Source organism: Homo sapiens, chromosome 10 (genome assembly GCF_000001405.40).
Source record: "Homo sapiens chromosome 10, GRCh38.p14 Primary Assembly".
Classification (NCBI taxonomy): Eukaryota; Metazoa; Chordata; class Mammalia; order Primates; family Hominidae; genus Homo; species Homo sapiens.
The window spans coordinates 93034056-93059758 of NC_000010.11; the positions used below are offsets into that span (position 1 = coordinate 93034056).

Below are 25703 nucleotides of genomic sequence, written 5' to 3' on the forward strand. Positions count from 1 at the left end.
CAACTATATATATTAACAATGGTTTAATGAAATCTGTGAGGGAAAATGTTGTAGAGTTTACTTCTGGGAGAGAGCTTTTACCTGGCATGCTTAATCTTGATTGCTAAAGTTAGGAATTATGTGAAGCTTGCAGTAAAGAGGTTATCAGTTGATTGAGTCAGCAGCTACCATCTATTGGTTTTTAACACTTCAACAGGGCAGTGGCATCGCTATGCCAGGTTCATATCATAGGTGAACTATTAAAAGCTGACAGTTTCTTCCACCAGTCTTGCTTGAAAAGGGAAGTACCCTGGGCACCCACCTCCTTGTTCTTAGCCCCTCACCCATTTTCTTTTATCCTTTTATACATGGCCTGATAATCTCTCTCTACCATACCCCCAAATGATTATAAGGTTTAGGAAAGAAGTTCCCATGTACATCACCATAGAAAGATAGGAAAACCCTGATAAACATACACTTGTATTTGACTCAAAATGAACAACTTTGAGTTCTGTCTAAAGGGACATGAACAAGCTTTGAATCTTATGAAGGAATTGTTTGGCCAGAATTCTTGCCATAGAGACTGGACGTCTGCCAGGACTTTACTTTGAAATTTCTGTCTTCTGTTTCTAATCTTAAGGCATCACAACATACAATTCTTTTGCCACTGGTCCAGTTTATTCTTTTATGATGAGGAAGAAGGCACTTTTAAATAACAATTATTTCCACTATAATTAAACAAATCTTCTTTTGTTTGCATTATTTTGTTACTATATTGTATACACACCCTGCCTGCTTAAACTTGCCCCTGTGACTACTTCACAGGAACTTTCTTTAGAAGTTTTAAAGTCGTTGACTTCTTAAAGTATTAATGGGATTTGCCAAAGTTGTAGTATCTGAATGCTTGACTAGATATAGTAGCAGGACAACAAGCTTGTTCACACAGCTCCTCCAGCAAGCATTTTTTCCTCAGACAATCCTAAATTCATTTGAAGTGCCAAAGAATTAAAGGAAGATACATTTGGGTTTACTTCTGAATATAACAAGACCAGACATCTCACAAAGTTTACCTTAAGGTCCAGATATTAGAAAAGTATGCTGCCCTTTTGGGAAAGCTTAGATTTTAAAGGATTAGTCTGAACCTAAATGACTTTTGCGTTTTTCTTCTTTTTGCTCCAGTGTCATAATTCCGGAAGTTTATAGTTTATGTGCTTAAATATGTAGGTGATAGGTGCTTATGCCTTCAGCTATCGATATGAACTTTGAACTCAAATTTTTATGATTATTTTAAGAGTAAACGTTAGAGCTGTTTTGTAGTTTGGAAAATTACCCTGTAAAATGATTTTTCAAAAACCAAAAACAAACACTGTGATAATTACAAAAATTGTTTATGCTCACTGTTTTTAAAAATTTCTTAAAAGTACTATAATTGCACACTCACAAAAAGTTACAAATATAGTTTAGAGAGGTCCCTTGTACACTTCCCCCAGTGCTAACGTTTTACATAGCTATAGTATTTGTCGAAACCAGGAAATTGGGGCCTGTCGTGGTGGCTCACGCCTGTAATCCCAACACTTAGGGAGGTTGAGGTGAGCGGATCACTTGAGGCCAGGAGCTCTAGACCAGCTTGGCCAACATGGCAAAACCCCGTCTCTACTAAAAATACAAAAATTAGACGAGTGCATTGGCATATGCTTGTAATCCCCACTAGTTGGGAGGTTGAGACATGAGAATTGCTTGAACCTGGCCTGCGGAGGTTGCAGTGAGCCAAGATCTTGCCACTGCACTCCAGCCTGGATGACAGATCAAGACTCTGTCTCCAGAAAAACAGAAACGAAAACACAGGAAGTAGATATTGTATGTTCACTGTTAAACTAAAATCAAACCTAAAAAGAAAGCTCTCAGGCCGGGCACGGTGGCTCACACCTGTAATCCCAGCACTTTGGGAGGCCGAGGCGGGCAGATCACCGAAGGTCGGGAGTTCAAGACCAGCCTGACCAACATGGAGAAACCCCATCTCTACTAAAAATACAAAACATTAGGCATGATGGCGCATGCCTGTAATGTCAGCTACTTGGGAGGCAGAGGCAGGAGAATCACTTGAGCCTGGGAGGTGGAGGTTGCAGTGAGCCGAGATCACACCATTGCACTCCAGCCTGGGCAACAAGAGTGAAACTCCATCTCAAAAAAAAAAAAGAAAAAAAAGAGAAAGCTCTTATTTTCCCCTCCTCTTCAGTCTTTCACAGTCATTATTTCCCTCCAGACCTTTGTAGTGTACATTCGAACATGTATACATGCAGATACTTACATGCACACATGTAGTTATTTCCTTTTTGGGGGAGGTATGTTATAATTCACATTTTTCATGCAACATATGCTTTCATATTGGTAAATATGGATGTTTCATTCTTTTTAATTTCTTTGTACTGTCTATAGTGTACATATACCATAATTTATTAAACAAGTCCTCATTTGTTGGACATTATGGATTCTTTAGTTTTGTCTATCTATTAATGAAGCTGCCATTAATATATTTATACATATATATCGAGCACTTGTGTAAGTATTTCTGTAGGCCTTTAGAAGTGGAATTACTGGGTACTGCTGAAAAAGCTCTCCAAAAAAGTATATAAATCAGAATTATTTTTAAAAGAGATACGTAACTTGGCAATATGACAATAAATAAAGCTAACAGATTTATGGAAAAAATTAAGTCATTTAAGTTTGCAGTTGGGCAAATACAGAATATTTCTTATTTACAATATAAGCATTATTGTAATATGATACATTTTAAGGTAAATTTTCAGTGAGTTACACAAGGATTAAATCTTTGTTTCCACAGACTGTGCATAATGTAAAAAGAGACAGTCCCAGATTTACCTGTTTTCAATTATCAATATTCCTGCTCTTTTTTTCACTGAAAGGGATAGGTTAAAATTTTTAGAACAGTTTGTCAACTATGGAGGGTAGTGATATTCTGGCCTTTGATAAATATCATATATGCAGTAAACTAATGATTAACTATTAACATTGGCATTACTCAACAAGGAGCTATATCTTTTCTCTCAAAATTAATTCACATTTTTGCCAAACTTCCTTTCTTCTTCTACTTTTTTTTTTTTTTTTTGGAGACAGGGTTTCTCTGTCGCCCAGGCTGGAGTGCAGTGGTGTGATCATGGCACATTGCAGCCTCAACCTCCCCAGGCTCAGGTGATCCACCTCAGCCTCCGGAGTAGCTGGGACTACAGGTGCATGCCACCACACCCAGCTGATTTTTGTATTTTTTGTAGAGGCAGAGTCTTGCCATGTTGCCCAGATTGTTCTGAAACTCCTGGCCTCAAGCGATCCACCTCAGCCACCCAATGTGCGGGGATTAATAGGGCCACTACATCCAGCCCTATTATTCTCCATTTTTTTTTTTTGAAATGGAGTTTCTCTCTTGTTGCCTAGGCTGGAGCATAGTGGTGTGATCTCAGTTCACTGCAGCCTCTGCCTCTCAGGTTCAAGCGATTCTCCTGCCTCAGCCTCCTGAGTAGCTGGGATTACAGGCACGTGCCACCACACCCAGCTAGTTTTTCTATGTTTAGTAGAGGCAGGGTTTCGCCATTTTGGCCAGGCTGGTCTCAAACTCCTGACATCAGGTGATCCGCCTGCCTTAGCCTCCCAAAGTGCTGGGATTACAGGTGTGAGCCACCGCACCTGGCTATTACTCATTTTTAAGAAATATTTTTCTCGGGCCGGGTGCGGTGGCTCACGCCTGTGATCCCAGCACTTTGGGAGGCCGAGGTGGGCGGATCACGAGGTCCGGAGATCGAGACCACGGTGAAACCCCGTCTCTACTAAAAATACAAAAAAATTAGCCGGGCGCGGTGGCGGGCGCCCGTAATCCCAGCTGCTCGGAAGGTGGAGGCAGGAGAATGGCGTGAACCCGGGAGGCGGAGCTTGCAGTGAGCCGAGATCGCGCCACTGCACTCCAGCCTGGGCTACAGAGCGAGACTCCGTCTCCAAAAAAAAAAAAAAAAAAAAAAAAAATTTTTCTCTAATAAATTTTTTTTGTTGACTGGAAATTTTTTTTTTTGTTACAGGTTTCTTTCAGTTTGGAGGATAGTTATGGGAAGTTTAAATATTTAAATGCTTTGTTAGAAAAACAGTAAATGCACTGTTTGTTTTACATACTAGTGGATATTATAACCACAATTCCTATTTTCAGTTATGATCTTTTTGCTACATAAAATAATATTCCCTAGACAACCTATACTGTATTTGCCATATCAAGTGTGAATCTGACAACAGAGTTCTAAAAAAATCCTACTAAGCATTCTTTTTGAAAGCAGATTGGCTACACATACAAATAAAAAGAAATGTTTGTGTAAATTAAGCCATCCTAGTCTAATTGTTTAAGCAGTTAATTTATAAATTGAAGAAATTATCTTCTAATCCTATTTTACATATAAATTTGAACATGACACGTAATTTCCCTGAAAGTCAACTTCTACTTTTATAGAGAACAGCCAGCACTCTACTTGAATGAGACGTATATATACATGACAGAGTTCTAGACTCAAGCAATATTGATTCAACAATATTGAGCTTTCCAGTGGTTTAAATTAGAAGCTTTTTCATGTATAATCTCTGCTTTTCCTTCATGGCTGTTTTGTCCCAGAAGAGACACAGTTCTTAAACTTTTGCTTCTTAAAGTGTTCTATGAAATATAATTTAGCTCAGTTCAACAAGCTTTGAGTACCCTAAAGGGAGAAGAGCTATTACCTCTACCCTTGAAGAACTCAAAATTTGATTAGAAAGTGAAAACAAACATACAAAGGAAAAGTAAGTATATGTACACACTCCGCACTTTAGGAAGTTATCAATGGCCCATAGAGCCACCTATCTTCTAATTTAGATGGTGCAGAGAACTCAACGCTGCCAACACTTTGCTAGCACTTCAAAGGGATGTATTCTTCCACCTATATATGTATATATATATATACCATCTATTAAAAAAGGCCGGTCATGGTGGCTCATGCCTGTAATCCCAGCACTTTGGGAGACCAAAAGGTCAATAGTGACCTCTTCAGAGCCAAGTGGATAATAGTTGTCATGAAAATTTTTACTAATATACACCAAAAGGCTGATATTGCTGAAGGTATTTTTTTTATTTGAGACTACCATTTATAGCATTATTCTCTAAACTTCCTCTTAGATATGCATTGCAGTGCTTAGTACTCATAGTTAAGTCACTGTTTAGTCCCTAGAGTATTTTGCAATGTATATTTCTCTCCTTTTCTTTGAACCCATTTGTGTTTTCGTAAATGTCAGAACATCTACCAATTACCTTCAAATTGTGATTCAGTGATTTTCATGGTCATAAAATCCTAAGACTTGAGGATTGGAAGGGACTTCCAAAAATCTAACCCCTGGCTCCAAACCTCTTAGAAGCTCTCCCCAGCAAGTGCCCTTGCTGCTGCTCCAGATATCTGGACATTCACCCCATCCAAATAGAGGCTTCTCTTCCCTTTTGAAAATCTCAGGGCAGCCTCCACCATTTCTCTCTGAGACTTGGTCAGACACTGCTGTTTCTGTTACTTCTCAGTCACACATCCTTCATCTGAGAAGATTAAAATAAAATTTGATTATTCAATGAAATTAAGTAGTTTCCACTTCCTTACTCTACTCCTTCTCACCTTCCAACTTTTTTCCTGTTTCATTCACTCCTTGTTTTGTCTACTCATCTTTTCACTTCTTCTGGCCCACTTATTCTATGCCACCTGAAAACCCTCATTGCAATGTAAATGGCCCTACTGCTTCAACTGTGTGGCAGAATGCTTTCTTCACCTCCTTTTCATAGAATTCGGAGGATACTGCTAACCCTGCAGCTCTCTCTAGTGGCAGGATGCATTCTTTCATGGCTACACGTGTGAATGAGATTCGTGTTCCCCTGGTTCCTCATTTCTATTTGTAGACCATTGTTCCTCCACTCTTGAGTGAAAGCTCCAGCCCCTCTGAGCCTCTTGTCTTCCATCTCTATCACCATCAACCTCTCACTGTTGCTTTTGCAGTCAGCTTATCTATATCCACACCCATTCTTCCTGTCCTTCATTCTCAGGTGTTAGGAAGCCTTTTTAATGAGGCTCTCATCTTCCTATGCCCTTGACCCTATCTTTTGTATGGGATTTTGTTTCATTTTGTTTCATTATTCATCTGCCTTTCCTCTGCTTTATCCTTTTCTTTTTTTTGAGACGGAGTCTCACTTGTTGCCCAGGCTGGAGTGCAGTGGCGTGATCTCGGCTCACTGCAAGCTCCGCCTCCCAGGTTCACGCCATTCTCCTGCCTCAGGCTCCCAAGTAGCTGGGACTACAGGTGCCTGCCACCACCCTGGCTAATTTTTTGTATTTTTAGTAGAGGCGGGGTTTCACTGTGTTAGCCAGGATGGTCTTGATCTCCTGACCTCGTGATCCACCTGCCTTGGCCTCCCAAAGTGCTGGGATTACAGGCGTGAGCCACTGCGCCCGGCCTGCTTTATCGTTTTCTTAGCCTAAAAACATTTTAGCTATTTCCAATTTCTCTTCCCTCATTTGCATCCTTAAAAGAGTGGTTTATAATTGATTATTCTTATTTTCACATCTCTCATTCATTTCTCAATCCATTCCTATCTGCTTTGCCACACTGCTGAAATAGTGTTCACTTAGGTCACCAGGGAAGGCCAGTAGACATTTTTAGCCCATATCCTATTGGTTCTTTCTGCTGCATTTGGTAATGTGGATCATGTTCTCTTTAAAATTCTCTCGTCTTCTGAGTCTGTACTCCCTTAACATCCTTCCTCTTTCTTTTCTGTGGTCTCCTTTTCTGCCCCCTAAATGTTGGTTTCCCCAAGGTTTCTGTCCTTAGAACACTGCTCCCTATACTCCTGACCTAGGTGAGCTGACCCGCTTTCATCAGATCTCTGGCAGTATGCCTTAGATACATATCAAGTTGCTTGGTAAACCATTTGACTTAGGTGTGTGTCCCGCATGCTGTGTGACCAAAGCTGTTGACTTGTTATCTTCCCTTATTCTCAAATCACATCCCTTTTTCATGTTGTCTTTTTTGATTGGTAGAACCACTTTGCCATGTCCTGGACAATCACCACGTCCTAGGGATTTTTTTCTCCTAAGTATTTCTCAAACCCATCCTCTTCTCTCCATGTTAACTACTTGCCTACCTATTCATCATTTTCTCTCTATCCCAACTATGTACCTGTCTGTCCCAATGTATTTTAAGATTGTTACAACAGTCTCCTAATTATTTTTTCTGCCTTAAGTGCATTTACTACAGAACCGAAGTGGTGAATCTGACCATGTCAGCTCCCTTGTTTGTTTGTTTATTTATTTATTTATTTGAGATGGAGTCTCACTCTGTTGCCCAGGCTGGAATGCAGTGGCATGATCTTGGCTCACTGCAACCTCTACCTCCTGGGTTCAAGCAATTCTTCTGCCTCAGCCTCCCAAGTATGCCTCAGCCTCCCAAGTAGCTGGGGTTACAGGTGCCTACCACCATACCTGGCTAATTTTTTTTGTATTTTTAATAGAGACAGGGTCTTACCACATCGGCCAGGTTGGTTTCGAACTCTTGACCTCAAGTGATCTGCCTGCCTCGGCCTCCCAAAGTGCTAGGATTACAGGCGTGAGCCACCGTGCCCGGCATTATTTATTTATTTATGAGATGGAGTCTTGCTCTATCTCCCAGGCTGGAGTGCACTGGTGCGATCTCGGCCCACTGCAACCTCCACCTCCTGGGTTCAAGTGATTCTTCTGCCTCAGCCTCCTGAGTAGCTGGGACTACAGGCACATGCCACCAAGCCCAGCTAATTTTGGTATTTTTGTAGAGAGAGGATTTTACTGTGTTGGCCAGGCTGGTCTTGAACTGCTGATCTCAAGTGATCCACACCCCTCAGCCTGTCAAAGTGCTGGTATTACAGGCCTGGGCCACTGCGCCCGGCCAGCTTCCTTGTTTAGAACCTTTCAATGGCTACCCAAAGTTCCTGAACAAGGCATATATATCCTTTTATGATTCAGCTCCTGACCCCTTCTCCAGCCTGTCTTATACTACCCCCTTACTCATATTTCAGTTTAGCAGCACTAAAGTACATGGCATTTCCCCATAAGCATAACTGTTTCTTGTCCTTGTGTCTTTCCTCACACTGTTCCATCTGCTTGAAATACCACGAGCCCTCCTTTGATTAACTCCTTAAGACTCAGTTTGGGTGTCATCTAAGACAGCTGCTTAGGTCTACTTCCCACCCCCTAAGCAATAATTGATGCTCTGATAATAGCCTATACATATGTCCATCTGTGTAATCAGCATGTTAGTTTGTAATTATGTTTGTGTGAATATCTTTCCCTTTATACTTGTGAACTTCTTAAATCCAAAGACTGGGCCATTACCGTCTTTTCATCACTAGTGTCAAATATAGTGCTTGTCACATGTGAACACAATCTCTTTTACGGAAGAGAAAGTTGGGACTCAGAGTTTGTAACTCCCTTAAATGATTCAGTCAAAATGAAAGTAGCTTGATTTTTAAAAACCTGGGTTGGGAGGAAATTTAGTAGGGCACAGACTAAACACTACTGGTACCTGCTATAGTATGCTACCAGAACTGTGAGAAATACATTTGTATTGTTTATAAGTCACTCGATCTGTGGTACTTTGTTATGGTAACCCAAACAGACTAAGACAGCGTCATAAGAAGTATTAACTCTGAAGTATTTTCTTATTTAAGTGAAGTATAATTGGATAGCCAAATAATATCCAGAGTATTGATTAAGTGATACAAAGGAAGAGCTTGATTTTTTTCCAGCCAGATGGTGCCGATTTCTAACATTCTGAAGCACCATAATCAAATATCAGATATTTTACTATTATTATTATTATTATTATTATTATTATTATTTTTTGAGATGGAGTCGCCCAGGCTGGAGTGCAGTGGCGCAATCTTGGCCCACTGCAACCTCTGCCTCCTGGGTTCAAGCAATTCTCTGCCTCAGCCTCCTGAGTAGCTGGGATTACAGGTGCCCACCACCACAGCCAGCTAATTTTTTGTATTTTTAGTAGAGACGGGGTTTCACCATCTTGGCCAGGCTGGTCTTGAACTTCTGACCTCGTGATCCACCCGCCTCGGCCTCCCAAAGTGCTGGGATTACGGGCCTGAGCCACCGCGCCCAGCTACAATTATTCTTTTAAAATGCTGACTCATGTTAAGTTGTATTGTCTACTGAGCTTTCCCTAAAGTCGTTGCATACTCTCTTAATTACCCCAGATTCTTACTATGAATTAAGTTGTATTTTTAATATTTTATGAATTTACTTTCAACCGATCTGTAAATACTTAAAGAATACTTCCAGTTTTCTTACCTGTTTGTTATTTCTCTTTCTCTTCTTTGTTCTCCTCTTAATTATCATCAACAAACTTTACCTCAACTGTGTTGAGGGCACTGGGCCAGGCACTGTTTTTATGTATTACAAAGAAGAGATGCCATGGTTTGAGTTTTTTCTGATGGCCTAGTGTAAGATGATTATGCAAAGTGTCAATGGAAACAATTGTCTTAACAGGATAACAGCCTATTTTGCTTAGAAATGTCCTAATTTCCTGTTTTTAGGTTATCCAGAGGTCAGGTAGGGATTTCTTTTTGTACTCTCATAGTGCAGATTCACATCGTGCAAGCATCACAGGACTTAGATCACAATCCATTTAATTCCAGTGGCTGCATTTATCTTCCCAAGAAAATAAGTCCTCCTTCAACTGCTGTTTTTATTTAGTTTCTCTTTTTTAATTTTATCCAATAACCTGTAGTGAAGGTGTGACTTCAATAGCTGTTTACCAGTAGCTGCTTCTTAACTGAGCTGCATCTTAAAGTTCATCTGTTGCCCATTTTGAAGTTCATGTGGCTACCTGCACTGGTCAGAATGTTACAGTGTTGTCTCTGTTTCGTTGTCTCAGAAATCTGTTACTAACTAAGCATTCAAGCAAGCATCAGGCCCCAAAGTAAGCCCTGACTACATGATGTGAACTTCTGCCTTAGTGAATCAGCTTCAGCATAGTTTGATAACTGCCTTTTTTCTTCATGTTTAATTGTGCTTTGAGGCTATGGAAAGACTACATTTATCTGTTGAAACAGACTAAGCAGCAAGTGTTCTGACATGTTTGTCGCGCAAATTATTATACGTGACAAAAGGTAATTACATATACAATCAGGTCTGGAAGTAAATGGATAATTAGGGGTTAATATATTATCTAGCATAAGAGAAGCACCTTTGAGATTCAAGAAAAGTAAACTAAATGCACATCTTTTTTAATTGTTTGAGTAAAGATTATAAAATATAAGATTTGAAAGAAATGAGTAAGGTTATAAACTCTCCTAAATACAAATACTAACTGAGATATTATAATATTGTCTTTAACAGAGACCACAGAGATCCTTAGTTTCCTTATTTCCATCAGACTAAGTATGGTAATCCAACTTTGCATCCCTTCAGGATTCCAAGGCAAAATGGTAATGGGTCTGTATTTATACTCTGGGCCTCAGTATATAAACTGAGGCCTTATCTCTATAAAGCATAAGAAATGAGATTTGACTCTGAAATTTAGGTCATCACTTCACCAAAGATTTATTGCCAAAATTGGAGTCTATTTTTTTTCCCACTAATTTATTGCCATAGAAATGATCTCCCTTTTCCTCTTGAGGCAATTGGGATTTAATGAGCTTGGTTTCTTTCGGTTATCCTGAATGGCTTGAGTTCCATTTTAAATAAGAGAATAAGGTGCCTCTGGGGACTTAAATATTTAGTTTTGGGGGATTTTTTATTTGTTTGTTTCTGTTTTTGGAGACACTGTCTCATTCTGTTGTCCAGGCTGGAGTGCAGTGGTGCAATCTCGGCTCACTGCAACCTCCACCTCCTGGGTTCAAGCAATTCTCCTGCCTCAGCCTCCTGAGTAGCTGGGACTACAGGTACCCGCCACCACGCCCGGCTAATTATTGTATTTTTAGAAAAGAAGGGGTTTCGCCATGTTGGCCAGGCTAATTTCAAACTTCTGGCCTCAAGTGATCTGCCGCCTCAGCCTCCTAAAGTGCTGGGATTACAGGCGTGAGCCACCGTGCCTGGCCAAGTATTTAGTTTTAATTTTAGTTCAGCCTTAAAGAAAAGCCAGTCATTGTTTATAACTAATAGCAAATTATAAGTATTATTTGACTTCCTAAAATTTTAGGGTAAAACATATGTGACTGCCTATATTGAAGACTAAATTAATCTAGCTGTTGGATTCTCCAAGTGTTCATTTGCTTTATTTTAAGTCATAACCATTGAGGTGGGGCAAGAGGGAGAAGAAGCACTTAGATTCTTTTGAATTTAGAAAAACTAGTTATTCTCTTCCCTCGTGTTTTTCTTAACAATTGTACTGCGGAAATCCTAGCCTGGTCTGGCTTCCTTCATTCAAGCAACTGCCATATCCTGGAGTATAGACATGTTGGCATACAATTTTTTCATTGGCTAATTCATATTGTCTTCCTTTGTTGCTCAAGTTCTTCCAAAGTCAATTCATACAAGCAGATCTTATTTCTTCGTAGCTTCAGTGGAGCAAAGTGACTTATCAGAGAGAACTGAAAGTCTATTGAACACCTCTCATCATGAGTTTCAACGTTTGATTTCCTTGGTATTAGAGGTCTTTGAGCTTCATTGGTGAAGTCATTACATAACTACTTGTTATGCAAGTGTAGCAGATGATGTAGTGAATCTGTACAGAAAATTAAATGTATGACCTGGGAATGTTTATTTAACATGTTTGATGGTGGCATCACTAGTTTACAAAAGGAGCAGAACTTTGGTTGTGAAATATTTTAGTACGTCCTATGGCACAAATTAAATCAATCAATAAATAGCCTAGTCTGGCTTTCAGAATAATTATAAAACATTACTAAAATTCAGAGATGTCTTAATTACTAGTAGTTTAGATGTCAAGTAAATGATAACATAGCCCTATTATCAGTATATATGATATGGGCTCAGTGTAGACTTATGAAATTATGTATCAAAAGGTAACATATGCAGTGAATCTCAACAGATATTTAGTTGATGCCTAGTATATGCCAGTTACCGGGCTAAATGTGAAGATACAGATACTAAGCAAAACAAGTCACTAGCTTTGAGGCACTTACAAAGTACATTATTAGAAGGAGGAAAAAGGCACTTCAACTGTTGAGATATTGGAAGGAGATAAGTGCTGGGATAACTATGATTCACCCAGACTAAAAATGGAATTATTGATATTTGATTCTTTGGTGGATACACAAACTAACCTCTAATGTCAATATACTGTGAAAAACACTGTGATACAGATATGTGGAGGGTAGTATGAGGACACAAAAAAGAGTGACAGCTAACCCAACCAAGGTGGTCTGGAGAGGCTTCCTGGGAGACTGATTTAGACTTAAGTGTTATGGACTAAGTAAGAGCTACCTGAGTGAAGAAGGAGGGAAAGGAGACTCCATACAGAAGAGCTGAGGAATGAGGAGTGTCCTAGGGTAGTCATGGTTTCCTTTTTTTTTTTTTATGAGACCGAGTTTTGTTCTTGTCACCCAGGTTGGAGTGCAATGGCATGATCTCGGCTCACTGCAACCTCTGCCTCCTGGGTTCAAGCAATTCTCCTGCCTCAGCCTCCCAAGTAGCTGGGATTACAGGTGCCCACCACCACGCCCGACTAATTTTGTATTTTTAAGTAGAGATGGGGTTTCACCATGTTGGCCAGGCTGGTCTTGAACTCCTGACCTCAGGTGGTCCGCCCACCTCAGCCTCCCAAAGTGCTGGGATTACAGGTGTGAGCCACCACGCCTGGCCCAGTCATGGTTTCTAGAGAACTAAGAGTAGTTCCTCATTTAGGAGCCTGGATTACTTGAAGGGAGAAGCCAAAAGGTTGACCTGGATAAGGTGCAAGAGAGCTTTGCATGTCATGTTAAGGAACTTGAATTTATCTTGTAGGAAATGGGGAGCCATCAAAGGTTTTAAACAAGGGAATGGTGTAATCAAATTTGTGTTTTAGCTAGATCTCTCTGGCAGCAGTGTGGAGGTTGGCTAATCTGGAATATTGTAAGAGAGAGGCAAAGGGAATAGGCAAGACCAATGGCCCCAGAGGAGAGATTGTGATGTCTGAACTAGGACAGGCGTAGTAATAGTAGGGATGGAAAGTTGGGAGAGGGCCAGGCACGGTGGCTCACGCCTATAATCCCAGCACTTTGGGAGGCCAAGGCAGGTGGATCACTTGAGCCCCGGAGTTCGAGACCAGCCTGGCCAACGTGTGAAACGTTGTCTCTACTAAAAATGCAAAAATTAGCTGGGCATGGGGGCGTGTGCCTGTAATCCTAGCTACTCGGGAGGCTGAAGCACAAGAATCACTTGAACCCAGGAGGCAGAGGTTGCAGTGAGGTGAGATTGCACCACTGTACTCCAGCCTGGGCATCAGAGTGAGGCTATGTCTCAAACAAAACAAAACAAAACAAAACAAAAAGAGGAGAAGAAGAAGGTGGAAGAAAGTAAATACAGGAAATATTTAGGAAGTTAAATTGGTACTATTTGTCAATAAATCAGATGGAAGAATTGTGAGAGAGAGGCCAGGCACGGTGGCTCACGCCTATAATCCTAGCATTTTGGGAGGCCGAGGCAGGTGGATCACGAGGTCAGGAGTTTGAGACCAGCCTGACCAACAGAGTGAAACCCCCGTCTCTACTAAAATACAAAGATTAGCTGGGTGTGGTGGCGTGTTCCTGTAATCCCAGCTACTCAGGAGGCTGAAGCAGGAGAATTGCTTGAACCTGGGAGGCGGAGGTTGCAGTGAGCCAAGATCACGCCACTGCACTCCAGCCTGGTGGACAGAGCAAGACTCCATCTCAAAAAACAAACAAACAAACAAAAAAATTGTGAGAGAAAAGACACAAAGCAAACTAAATCCAGATTTTTGGTTTCAGTAATTAGGTAAAGTACTGCTAGTTCATGTATGACCTACATGAAGCTGAACTCTTACGTTCAGTACTCTCAAGAAAAGCAAGCCATGCCTGTGTGTTTCTGTGTGTGCATGGAGGGATAGCATTAGGAGATATACCTAATGTAAATGACGAGTTAATGGGTGCAGCACACCAACATGGCACATGTATACATATGTAACAAACCTGCACGTTGTACACATGTACCCTAGAACTTAAAGTATAATAAAAAAAAAAAATCTAAGTTACATTCAACTATTTGAAGTGAATCTACTTGAGGAAATTATATGACAGGTTCTTTCTTCTATTGGGTAATTGAAGGTTTTTATTATTTTTCAAAAATAGGAAATAAAAAAAATTGATAAGAATTTATTAACATTGGCTGGGTGCAGTGGCTCACGCCTGTAATCCCAGCACTTTGGTGAAACCTCGTCTCTAATACCTAATGCTAAATGACGAGTTAATGGGTGCAGCACACCAGCATGGCACATGTATACATATGTAACTAACCTGCACATTGTGCACATGTACCCTAAAACTTAAAGTATAATAATAATAAAATTAAAAAAAATTAGCTGGGGTGGTGGCACACACCTGTAATCCCAGCTACTTGGGAGGCTGAGGCAGGAGAATCACTTGAGCCCAGGAGGCAGAGGTTGCAGTGAGCCAAGATCGTGCCACTGCACTCCAGCCTGGGCAACAGAGTGAGACTCCGTCTCAAAAAAAAAAAAAAAAAGAATTTATTAACATCTTTTTGCATTCATAAAAAACTTTCAGGAAACTTTAATTAAATATCTATTTGTTGTTTGGGTTTAAATACATAATATAAATATTTTATCCCAATTGCCAAAAGAATTATTTTAAAACTCAACTACATAAGGTGCTAATGTTCTTATACTGCTAAATGGAAAGTCAGAAGATCCTATTAAAAGTTTATATAACAAATTCTACTCCTAGATATATACCCAAGAGAAATGGAAACAGTTTTTTACAAACACCTTGTACATAAATGTTAATAGCAGCATTTTTTTTTTTTTTTGAGGCAGAGTCTCGCTCTGTCGCCCAGGCTGGAGTGCAGTGGTGCAATCTCAGATCACTGCAAGCTCCGCCTCCTAGGTTCATGCCATTCTCCTGCCTCAGCCTCCTGAGTAGCTGGGACTACAGGTGCCTGCCACCATGCCCGGCTAATTTTTTATATATTTTTTTAGTAGAGACAGGGTTTCACTGTATTAGCCAGGATGGTCTCGATCTCCTGTCCTCATGATCCACCCTCCTTGGCCTCCCAAAGTGCTGGGATTACAGGCGTGAGCCACCGTGCCCGGCCCAGCAGCATTATTTTTAATAGCCAAAAAAGATAAATGTCCATCAACTGATGATTGGATAAACAAGGTGTAGTACATCCATACAATATATTATTATTTGTCAATAAAAAGGAATGAAGTAATAATGCATGCTACAACGTGATGAACCTTGAAAATATTATGCTTAAGTGAAAGAAGCCAGTTACAAAAGACCAGGTAGGTCTTTTTGTTTTGTTTGTTTTGTTTTGTGTTGTTTTGTTTTAAATAGAGGCAGGGTCTTGCTCTGCTGCCCATCCTGGAGTACAGTTCATTGCTCACTGCAGCCTCCACCTTCTGGACTCAAGCTAGCCTCCCACCTCAGCCTCCCAAGTAGCTAGCACTACAGGTGTGCACCACCACAGCCAGCTAATTTTTAATTGTATGTCGAAACAGGGTCTCACCGTGTTGCCCAGGCTGGTCTCAAACTCCTAGTCTCAAGCCTTGGCCTCTCAAAGTGCTAGGATTACAGGGGTGAACCACCATGGTAGGCCAGAAGACCACATGTTATTTGATTCCCATTTGGGGAGTGATTGCTAATGGCTATGGGGTTTCTTTCAGGGGCTCTAAAATTGATTGAGATGGTTGCACAATTCTGTGAATAGAGTCAAAACCATTGATTTGTGCCCTTTAAATGAGTTAACTGTATGGTACATCTCAAAGCTGTTAAAAAAAAAAATTTTAAAGTTATATAACAAGAAATAGAGGTTTAATTATATTAAAGTTATAAAAACAAAAATAGACAAAAATGGTAGGATAGCTACCCAAGAAGAGAGCTGGTATAAAGTAAGGTAAATTCTCATATGTGATAGCTGTAAAATAATAAACTCAAAATTAGAAAAATAAGCCTATTAGGGATAGTGAGATAATCACTAGAACTAAAAGAGGAGTTAAAGGCCAGACGCAGTGGCTCACACCTGTAATCCCAGCATTTTGGGAGGCCGAGGTGGGTGGATCACTTGAGGCCAGGAGTTTGAGACCAGCCTGGGCAACATGGTGAAACCCCGTCTCTACAAAAAACACAAAAATTAGCCGGGCGTGGTGGTATGTGCCTGTAGTCCCAGCTGCTTGGGAGGCTGAGGCACAAGAATTGCTTGAACCTGAGGCCAGGTGCGGTGGCTCACGCCTGTAATCCCAGCACTTTGGGAGGCCAAGATGGGTGGATCACGAGGTCAGGAGTTTGAGACCAGCCTGACCAACATGGTGAAACCCCATCTCTAACTAAAAATACAAAAAATTAGCCGGGCATGGTGGCGTGTGCCTGTAATGCCAGCTACTCAGGAGGCTGAGGCAGGAGAACTGCTTGAACCTGGGAGGTGGAGGTTGCAGTGAGCCGAGATCACGCCACTGCACTCCAACCTGGGCAACAAAGCGAGACTCCGTCTCAAAAAAAAAAAAAAAAAAAAAAGAATTGCTTGAATCCGGGAGGAGAAGGTTGCAGTGAGCCGAGATTGCACCACTGCACTCCAGTCTGGGTGACAGAGCGAGACTCTGTCTCAAAACAACAACAACAGAAAACACAAAAAACAAATAAGTAAGGAGTTAAACATGGTTACTTCTGAGTACGGCAGTGAACTGTTGGTTTCATGATATGCTCCATTTGATTATTAACTATGTATTTGATAAAATTAATTTTAATAAATTAACCACATAAATTCACATGTATGTATCTATATGCTATTTTAGCCATGGTAGTGACCAAAAAGAAAAAAATCAAAATAAAGCAAATATGGATGTGTGTAAATCCAATTATGTAAATTTTACTGTATTCCTCTTTTTTTTTTTTCAAATTCCAAACTCACCTAGAGGTTATCTAGGACTACTACATTAGCTTAGCATAAAAAAATACTTTAAGAACATTCTACATTTGCATGTACAGTTCACCTGAGTGAAGTTACTTGAAGAGACTAATTCCTTTAAGCAGCTTCTGCAGCATGAAGTGCTCAGAACTCACTCCTAGTCCTCACAGAGGTGGGAGTGAAAGGATTGGCTGAGAGCAAGTCTAGCAGATGGGACATTGGAAGAGGGCAGGCTTGGGTGAAGGTGCATCAGATCCAGAAGGTAGCATGAAGGCAGTTAACACCTGAAGGCAAAAAAGTGAGGTGGCTGGAGGCACAATACTGTTTTGCTTTTTTGTATTGTAGTTATTGCCTATGCTCCTTCTGACTGCTACTTAAAATTCTGTGCTACATGTGGAGTTTTCCAAATGTGGTGTTTTTAGATGGCTGGAAAGGAAGGAAAATCCAGGTGCTTTAAAAATCATATGGAGCTCATCATTTGACCTCACAATATATTTTGTAAAAGGACTTGTAGTTTTTTCCAATGTAGCTAATTTAGTAAGACCCATTTTTCTTGAATTCCCAGTGGCAAATTACTCAGGATTTGTTAGAAGGACAAGTATTTCTTCCTTGAAGCAGTACTAGGGTTTAGGACTTTTGTTGTTTAAATCTCTGGAGCACTCTAGGAACCCTGGTCTCAGCTTTGCTTTTTGGAGGCAAAGGAAAAATGATCTCCTGGTTTACTTTTGGAATCTGCAAAGCAACTCTGAGGTCCCAGGTGGATTTAGTGTTTGGAAAAGGGAACTTGGGGGACTGAGGTTGACCCTGAGCCCCCAGGTCACTGTTCACGTTTACAAAAGCAAACCTGGTATCCCCAATTGCTTTTCTCTTGAGGTTGGCTTAACTTTATTTATCTTCTGTCCTGGGTCACTGCCCCTGAGGTGCTTCAAAAGCAAAACCCAAAAGACCCAAAACAAAGAAAGCTAAATCAGATTCAAGGAAAAAATGACCTGGCACTGTGGGTTCACTTTTAAAAAGGCAAAAAGTCACTTCAAGAGTTTCATAGAATAGTTTTAAGTCTGCCTAGATTCATTGTGTCATTTGTACAAAGTGATCTCAACAGGTCTGAAACCCCAAGTTCCTTGGGCATGGATCGAGAATGAGTCTGTAGGATGGGAAACTGTCAGCAAGCTAAATGGGTTGACACAAATGAATTCCTCAGTGATTCTGAAGTGATTCAACTATTTTGAGCATATAAATGGGACCACCCATGTAACACTTCTTTCCTTAAGCTGATCTTTGTGTTTGCTGGACACACACAGGGAATGCTGAGGAAGTGAAATGTACAACTCACTTACAAATGTTGGCATACACCCACTTTATGTTATCAGATTAGTTATGAAGGGTATTTTTGAATCCTTGGTGAAAAAAAACTTGGAATACTAATTTCAGATAATCTTACAAATCATGATGAGGTAGAACTCAAGCACATGATTTTGCCTTTTCATTTTTATATCATCTGTACTTTGCTTACTTCCCAAAAGGATTTAAGGTGGAATTACTTTACTTGACTATTGGAAGAAACCCATTTATAAAGCTTAATACCAATTTTCATTATCATATGCCTGACTTTATCCTTTAATAAGTAATTGTAAAATTGCTTTTGGGTAATCTGGGGAGATTTTTGTTTTTGTTCATGTTTGATCTACATCTTTGAACTTCAGGTGTATGTGTTAACCAATAAATACACCTGTTGAGACCATGTCCTACTGTTTATTTACAAGACTGAAAGAGATTTTGTGTGATTAATAACAAACATATTATTTGTGCATTGCCATCTGAAGGAAGCAAAACTTAAGTAGAGAAGTGAGATTTTTCATAATGTAGATCTTAATATTAAGAACATAGTGCATCCTGTGAAGCCTAACCAATTGTGAGAGGCAGTCCGCAAGGCAGTGACTGTTGGGGTAGAGTGAAGGCAAGTATTAGTGTTTGTACCTGGCAACACCCCAGTTTCCCCTTTTCTACCCATCACACTCTGACTCCAAAGCAATCATGTTCTTTTAAAGTCATCCCAATCAAAGACCAGGGTCATCTTGGTCGGAACAGGCATGGATAGCTGCCTGTGGAAATGGGTTCAGTCCATAAAATCTGGCCTGGCATAATGTTAGGTGGGACCCAGGAATAAAGTCCTGGTTTTTTGTTTTATCCTTCACTTCAATAGAACTGAATTATAAAAAGTGAAAAATGACCTTATAATTGTTATGCGTGAAGGAGACTGATAGACAATTCAGAAATATTAACGCTACTTTCTCCAGGAAGATCATTTGACTTACTTAACGTTAGACCCAATGCTGTATCATGATGGAGTCTCTCCTCTTTATCAATACCCCAGTGAAAAGCTGGGAGAGATACAGGGATGTCACTTCACTATATTCACTTGCCATAGTTTGCCTGCAAGCCAACATTGGCCTTTTTCAGAGAGCTATCAGCATAAGCTAAAGTAGCCTGTACTTATAAAGCCTAAGAAAAAAGCTCCCAAGGAAACTTGGAATAATGGTCTGGCATCATCATTTAATCAGTTATTTCCTGAATATCTACTGAGTGGTTAGACTGTGCTAGACACACTTTATGAGCTTGCCTGCCCAGTTTTGAAGTTTGTTTCTATTTACTTGTTCCAGCAGTACAATGCATTTGAAAAATCCTTACACACATGAAAATGATAAATGAGAATATGAGATCAACATGCTTGCTGGCTCCATCTTTGCTCTCTGCCCATGTCCATGTGTAGTCTTTGGGACACAAACACTGAAATGTCTCAGCCATTGGATCTTCAGTCATTGGATTCATAGACTGAGCGGAATGAGCAGGCAGTCACCAGCTTCTATATAAGTTAATGGTTTCTATTTTATTCTATATTAAAGTGATAGTAGCTTCCTCATGTGTTACTGTAGTTTAAATTACTAGGATTCTGTGTGAATAGCTTTTCTTTATAATTTCTTCCATGTTAACATCAAAAGATTACTGCTTTATTCCTATCTTACAATGTAAGCTCCTTGAGGAAAGAGATTTTGTCTTGTTCCAATGCTGTATCTCTGGTACCTAGCACAGTATCTAGCACGTGATAGGTGGGGAGTCAATATATGTTGAATAAATAAATGAATCTTATGTAGATCATTGGCTTTTTTGTCTGCTTTGGCAATTAATTCCTTAACCATTAATTTGCAAATTCGTGCAGATTTCTACAGATACCTGTAAATTAACTGTGTACAATATGTATTTCTATAAATATTTATACAAAGATTAATGTCAATATGAAAGCATATAGATTTGTCTACATATGGGCAGGTAGGTTTAATTTTGTGGTTCCTGTAATTTCTGCGGATTTGCACATAAGAGATTTGCATATGAGTATCTGACCATATGTGAACATTGTAAGCATAGTGTTTCTTTATCCAGGACAGTCTGGTCTTGTGCTGTAAAAGAATCAATTCTGTATTCACAGTTGGAGTTGGTGCGGGTTTTTCATTCATTAAGTCGGCTCCTCCTTTCCCACTTGGGGGTAAATCAGCCTAGAGAAAAAGAGCCTTAAGAGGTTGCTTTCTGCTGACACTGTGCATTGCACATGCACAGTTGTGCAAATACACACATATACCTGAAAGAAGAATCCTTGAAAATGAGGCTTCTGTTGACAACTCTGTGAGGGGTGTTCATTATTGAAATTTATTTTAATATATAAATATATAAACCTTATTTATAACTATAGTATTAACACATATCCATTGTAGAGTATTACAAAAATAAAGAAAATAACAGTTAACCTTAATCCCACCACATAAATGACAATCATTCTTTTTTAAAAATTACTATTTTAGAGGTGAAGTCTCATTATGTTGCCCAGGGTGGACTCTTAACTCCTGGGCTCAAGTGATCCTCCCGCCTCAGTCTCCAGAGTAGCTGGGACTACAGGAACACACCACCATGCCCAGCTTATAACCGGCATCCTTAACGTTTTTGCAAATTTTCTTCCAGTCTTTTTGGATGGGTTTTTATGTAACTTAAGTAGCAACATTTATCATAAACATTATCCCAAGTTATTTAAAATTCTTTGTAAACATTAATTTTAATAACCACATGATAGTCATCATACAGATAGACCTCACTACTTAACCAGTCTCTTAATATTGAGATTTAGGCTATTTTCAGTTTTTGATAACACAAATAACATTTTTGAGATTAATATCTTTGTGCATAAATTTTTTTCTGTTTCTCGAAGTTGCATTCCAAGAAGTAGGATTGCTGAATCAAAGGGAATGGCCACTTTTATAAGGTTCTTAAACACATTGCAGAATCACATTCCGGAGACGTTATACTAATTTACACTCTTACCATCTGAGTGTATGAAAGTAACTTTTCCTCTTTGTGAAAGGAGGGAAAAATGTGGCCAAACAACAGTTAAAAATTACACAGAACTTTAAATAAGTTCCCTTTTCTTTTTCAGACAGTATATTCTTTAACATTGTCTCAGTATAGTTTCTATCCTAGTGTTTCAACTGTTGGTATGGCCCAGAATGGTATCTTGTCCGAAAGAAAATAGAGTGGCTTTCCATAGTTAATATTTTCATTATAGAATTTTCTGCCTGTTGCAAGAAAATCTCTATTAATACCTGTAAATTGGATGGGGAAATAGTCAAGCAAGTTCTTTACCTTCATCAAGAAAAGCTAGTTTCTGGTGACCTTTCTTTATGAGGTTTTAATCACCCCAGAGTTTTATCCCTCTCAGAGTCAGTGGTCGGCTCTTGTATCCCATGAGTAAATGCAAATGTTTCCTCCATTTGAAAGCAAAACCAGTAAGACCCCTTACTTATAAAGTGAGTTAAAACAAAAAGAAAGAATATAAAAACTAAAGGAAGGTAGTAAGTAAAGCATTTAGCTTTCTGAAACAATTCAAATGGGGATAGGAAGTTGGTTTTAAATGGCTTAAAGGGGATTAGGGTTTTAAAGTTGGATAAAGAGTTTGGTGCTTAGGTTTAGGCATGGCATTGCTTTTAAAAGATTACTTCCATATTTGACAATGATTCTAACTGGAGATTATAAAGTAAATAGTCAATTTTAAGACACCACGGGAAACAAGAGGGTTTCTTTTTTGTTGTTGTTTGTTTATACAAAATGGTAGCCTAGAGTTAACAGGCTGAATCCTGAAGCCCTCATTTCATAATACTACAGAGGATCTATCACCAGAGAGAATCTAGCAGAGGTTGTTTAATGCACTTAATTGAGATTATCTGAGCTTTTGGTTTAAATTACTTTGGAAAAAGTCTTAGGTGCAAACAGCGTCCTTGAAAGGTAAACATACTTACCTCTAAGAAAAAAAGGTTCAATTTAAGTTCTTTAAAATTCTTCATACAGGTTAGTAGCACCAACCTTTATTAATTAAATCTGGGTACTGACTAATGCATAAAGATAAAATTTCTATACATCAGTACAAGGGTTAATATATATTATATTAACATTGTTTTCATTATTTTACAATTATTTGAAAACATGAAGTATTTTACTAGAAAACAACCCCTGGCATTTTTAGTAATTTCAAAGTAAAAAGATCTATTTTGATTGTAAAGTACAGTTAATGAAGTTTTAAAAATGAATTTCCGTATTCTGTTCCATCTAAGAAGCAAGCCATATTAAAATGGACCAAGGATAGCATATAATTTAAGTATTAACTGGGTAAATAATCAAAAGTTGATTTAACATTTCCCCCATCTTTCGCAGCTCCTTGACCTGTTTATGGTTTGGGATTGGTCTACTTACCTAGCTGATTATGGGCAGCCAGCTTCTAAGTACCTTCGGGTGAATCCAAACACAGCCCTTACTCTTTTGGAGAAGTGAGTATATTCTGAAACTTTTTTGTATAACATTTTAGCACCTTTTGATTCAGTGATAAACTGAAGAACTAGAGATTTCTGTCAAAAAAGAAAAGTCTAGATGGAGCTTAAAAGCTCACTCTAGTTTAATGACCAAAAAATAAGCTTTTCTTTCTTGCCCTTCAGAGTTGGTGTAGTTTCATAAGCAACTGCTGTTTATATTGATGTGAACAAAACATCTTTCCTTTTGTATCCTGAATTGCAAGCTTAATTGACCTTAGAAATATGTTTACTGGGGATGTGACAATTGGAGCTTTCTTTAAAAAAAAAAGTCTATAACTCAGGAAAGAAGGTATTTTGTCAAATGTGACCAGGAATTGGAATGTTTGCCACCAGTGTTACCTAAATCTTAGCATTATGGACTTGGATTCTTTGCAGGTAGAGAAATATGTGATTTGAAAAAAAAAATACAGTAAAAACTGAGGTAATAGGATTTACTGATGCATCTTGTCCAACTAAACATAAATTTAGGTGTTAACTTTTCCCTCTCATTATGTGACAGACTTTTTCTTTACTCAATCATATTTCATTTAAAATGTCACTATTGGGAGACTCTCTGAATCTGCTGTGATTCTGGGGGCTGCTGGATAAGAAAAATAAAAAAGTATCACTATTAAAATTTTCAATTTTAAATTAAAATTGTTATTATTTTCCTATATTTCAAAATATTTGTGGTGTATTTGATTTGAAAGGACAAGAGGAAGTGTTTAAAATAAATGTAAATTTATTTTACAATGCCATGAAATGCAACTGAGGCAAAAACATCGCTATTTTACATTTTCTAATGTTATTTTCCTTTCACCTTATCTTGCTATGAATATGATTAGCAGAGTCTATACAGGGTATGTATTTTAGCATACTTTGTGGAATAATATTAGAAAATAGTATGATAGTAGTAAACCTAGCATATTTTAGATGTACATACTAATGCAAAAATACCACTTAACATAGAATGTAAAATAAAGCTTCTAATTTTTTGCATGGTTACTATATCTGTATGTTTATTTAGTATCTACTTTCTTTGAACTATATTTTTCAAGCATAGGATTAGTGTGGGATAATTCAGAGCATGCCAAGATATTTTACTTGTGACAGCTTAGCTTTTAATTTTCTTTTACCAAGCTTCTTCATTCACATATGTTTCTAGGATGAAGGATACTAGCAAAAAGAACAATATATTTGCTCAGTTCAGGAAGAATGATCGAGACAAACAGAAGTTGATAGAGACAGTCGTGAAACAGCTGAGAAGTTTGGTGAATGGTATGTCCCAGCACATGTAGACCTCACATGGCTTGCACTCAGTGACACCAAATCCATGATTCAATGTTGATCTTGAGCAAGTATTGGTCATGATACAGTAATTTGTTTACAGAATCCAAAAATACAATAGAGAAGATACATGAGGGCTTAAACAAGAAATAGTAATAAATATCATTTGTATGGATTTTTAAATAATCGAATACTATTTTATATATGGAAAAAAATGACCATTTTTTCACTTTTAGGGGAAAATGCAAAAGTGTAATACATAAATTGTCACAAATTATACATGAAATTGATTACAAATACATTTGAAAAACATATGCCTCTACTCATAAGTATTTTTTTCTATTTAGACTTGAATGATAATCTGTTTTTTGATCAGTATATGGCTTTGGAATTCAATCATGTCTGATATGGTAGTATTTCACTACCATTTTCTGACTTTTAGCTTTTATTTTCACCTCAATGTGATTTAAGCAGACCAAAATTTCTAATTCTGCTAATTCTGAAGGGGAAATAGACAAATCTTAAAAGCTGCCTGAAATCAAACTTGATTTAACTCAGTAAGAATGTGAATTATTTGTTCTACTTGGGTGGTTTAATTTAATCGTTCTGAATATGAACAAAAGGTTTTGGATTTTCTAAAGATGCAGTGTTGTTTCTGTTCATCAGGGTTAATATTTCTAACTATATTGCTTGTAGGTGACCCCATTCTGGATTTGTTTGGTTTGGTTTGGTTCCAGTTAAAAGAGAGGACAGGAACTAAATGGGGCTAACCACTTCAGGTGCAGCTTGTGCGAGGGTAGATGGTTCCTGCACACAGAAGTTACCACAGGGGTCAGGTTACTTTCTTCAAATAGCAGATTTCAGTACTTTATCCTCATTGTGGAAACAAGCCAAACCAAATGAACTCTGGAAAACCTAAAACAAATGTACATTTTCCTTTGTGTATGTTTCCGTGGTCCAAATGGCAATATAAATCCAGTCTTTATTCTCCCTTTGTTGTATTTATGCTGAATCTTCCCTTTGCCTTTTCAGGATTTAGGCCTGTAAGAAACTATGCCTGATTCTGTAAAATAAGTGTAAAGAATTATATGTACATCTCTGGATTTTGTGATGAAATATTAAAAATATTGAGCAAGTTGTTGAAAATGCATTACTATTTTGTCTATTCAGAGCTTACTGATTTAAAACAAGTGCTTCCTGGAGAAAAGGCATATTATTTCCTAGTTACTGGAATGGGAGTGGCACCAAAACAGTATATATACATACACACACACACACACACACATATATATACATATGCGCACTTGTTCTCTCGATCATCTCTTAATCCAAAGTATTTAATGTTTTTAAAAATATTACATGAAAAGCATGGTAGTTCTTCAGGCACGGTGAAATCTGGAGGAGAGGAGCGGTG

General features: G+C 38.6%; 1 protein-coding gene across 10 annotated transcripts in view, besides 1 other annotated feature; it reads left to right on the forward strand.

Annotated features, from left to right (window-relative positions):
• EXOC6 (exocyst complex component 6) overlaps positions 1-25435 on the forward strand; it is a 232660-nt gene extending 207225 nt beyond the window's left edge. For all 10 annotated transcript variants that reach the window (NM_001013848.4, NM_001319194.2, XM_017016344.3 and 7 more), the window contains 2 exons: positions 22869-22981; positions 24168-25435. In NM_001013848.4, coding sequence (NP_001013870.1) covers positions 22869-22981; positions 24168-24300 — 246 coding nt within the window. In that variant the 3' untranslated portion in view covers positions 24301-25435. The remainder of the gene's footprint in view (positions 1-22868; positions 22982-24167) is intronic.
• Positions 5717-6011: a silencer, noted in NCBI's record as "tiled region #5548; HepG2 Repressive non-DNase unmatched - State 13:Ctcf". NCBI's record gives its function as "represses a minimal TATA promoter and a strong SV40 promoter by Sharpr-MPRA in HepG2 cells {active_cell/tissue: HepG2}" and the evidence as "EXISTENCE:reporter gene assay evidence [ECO:0000049][PMID:27701403]".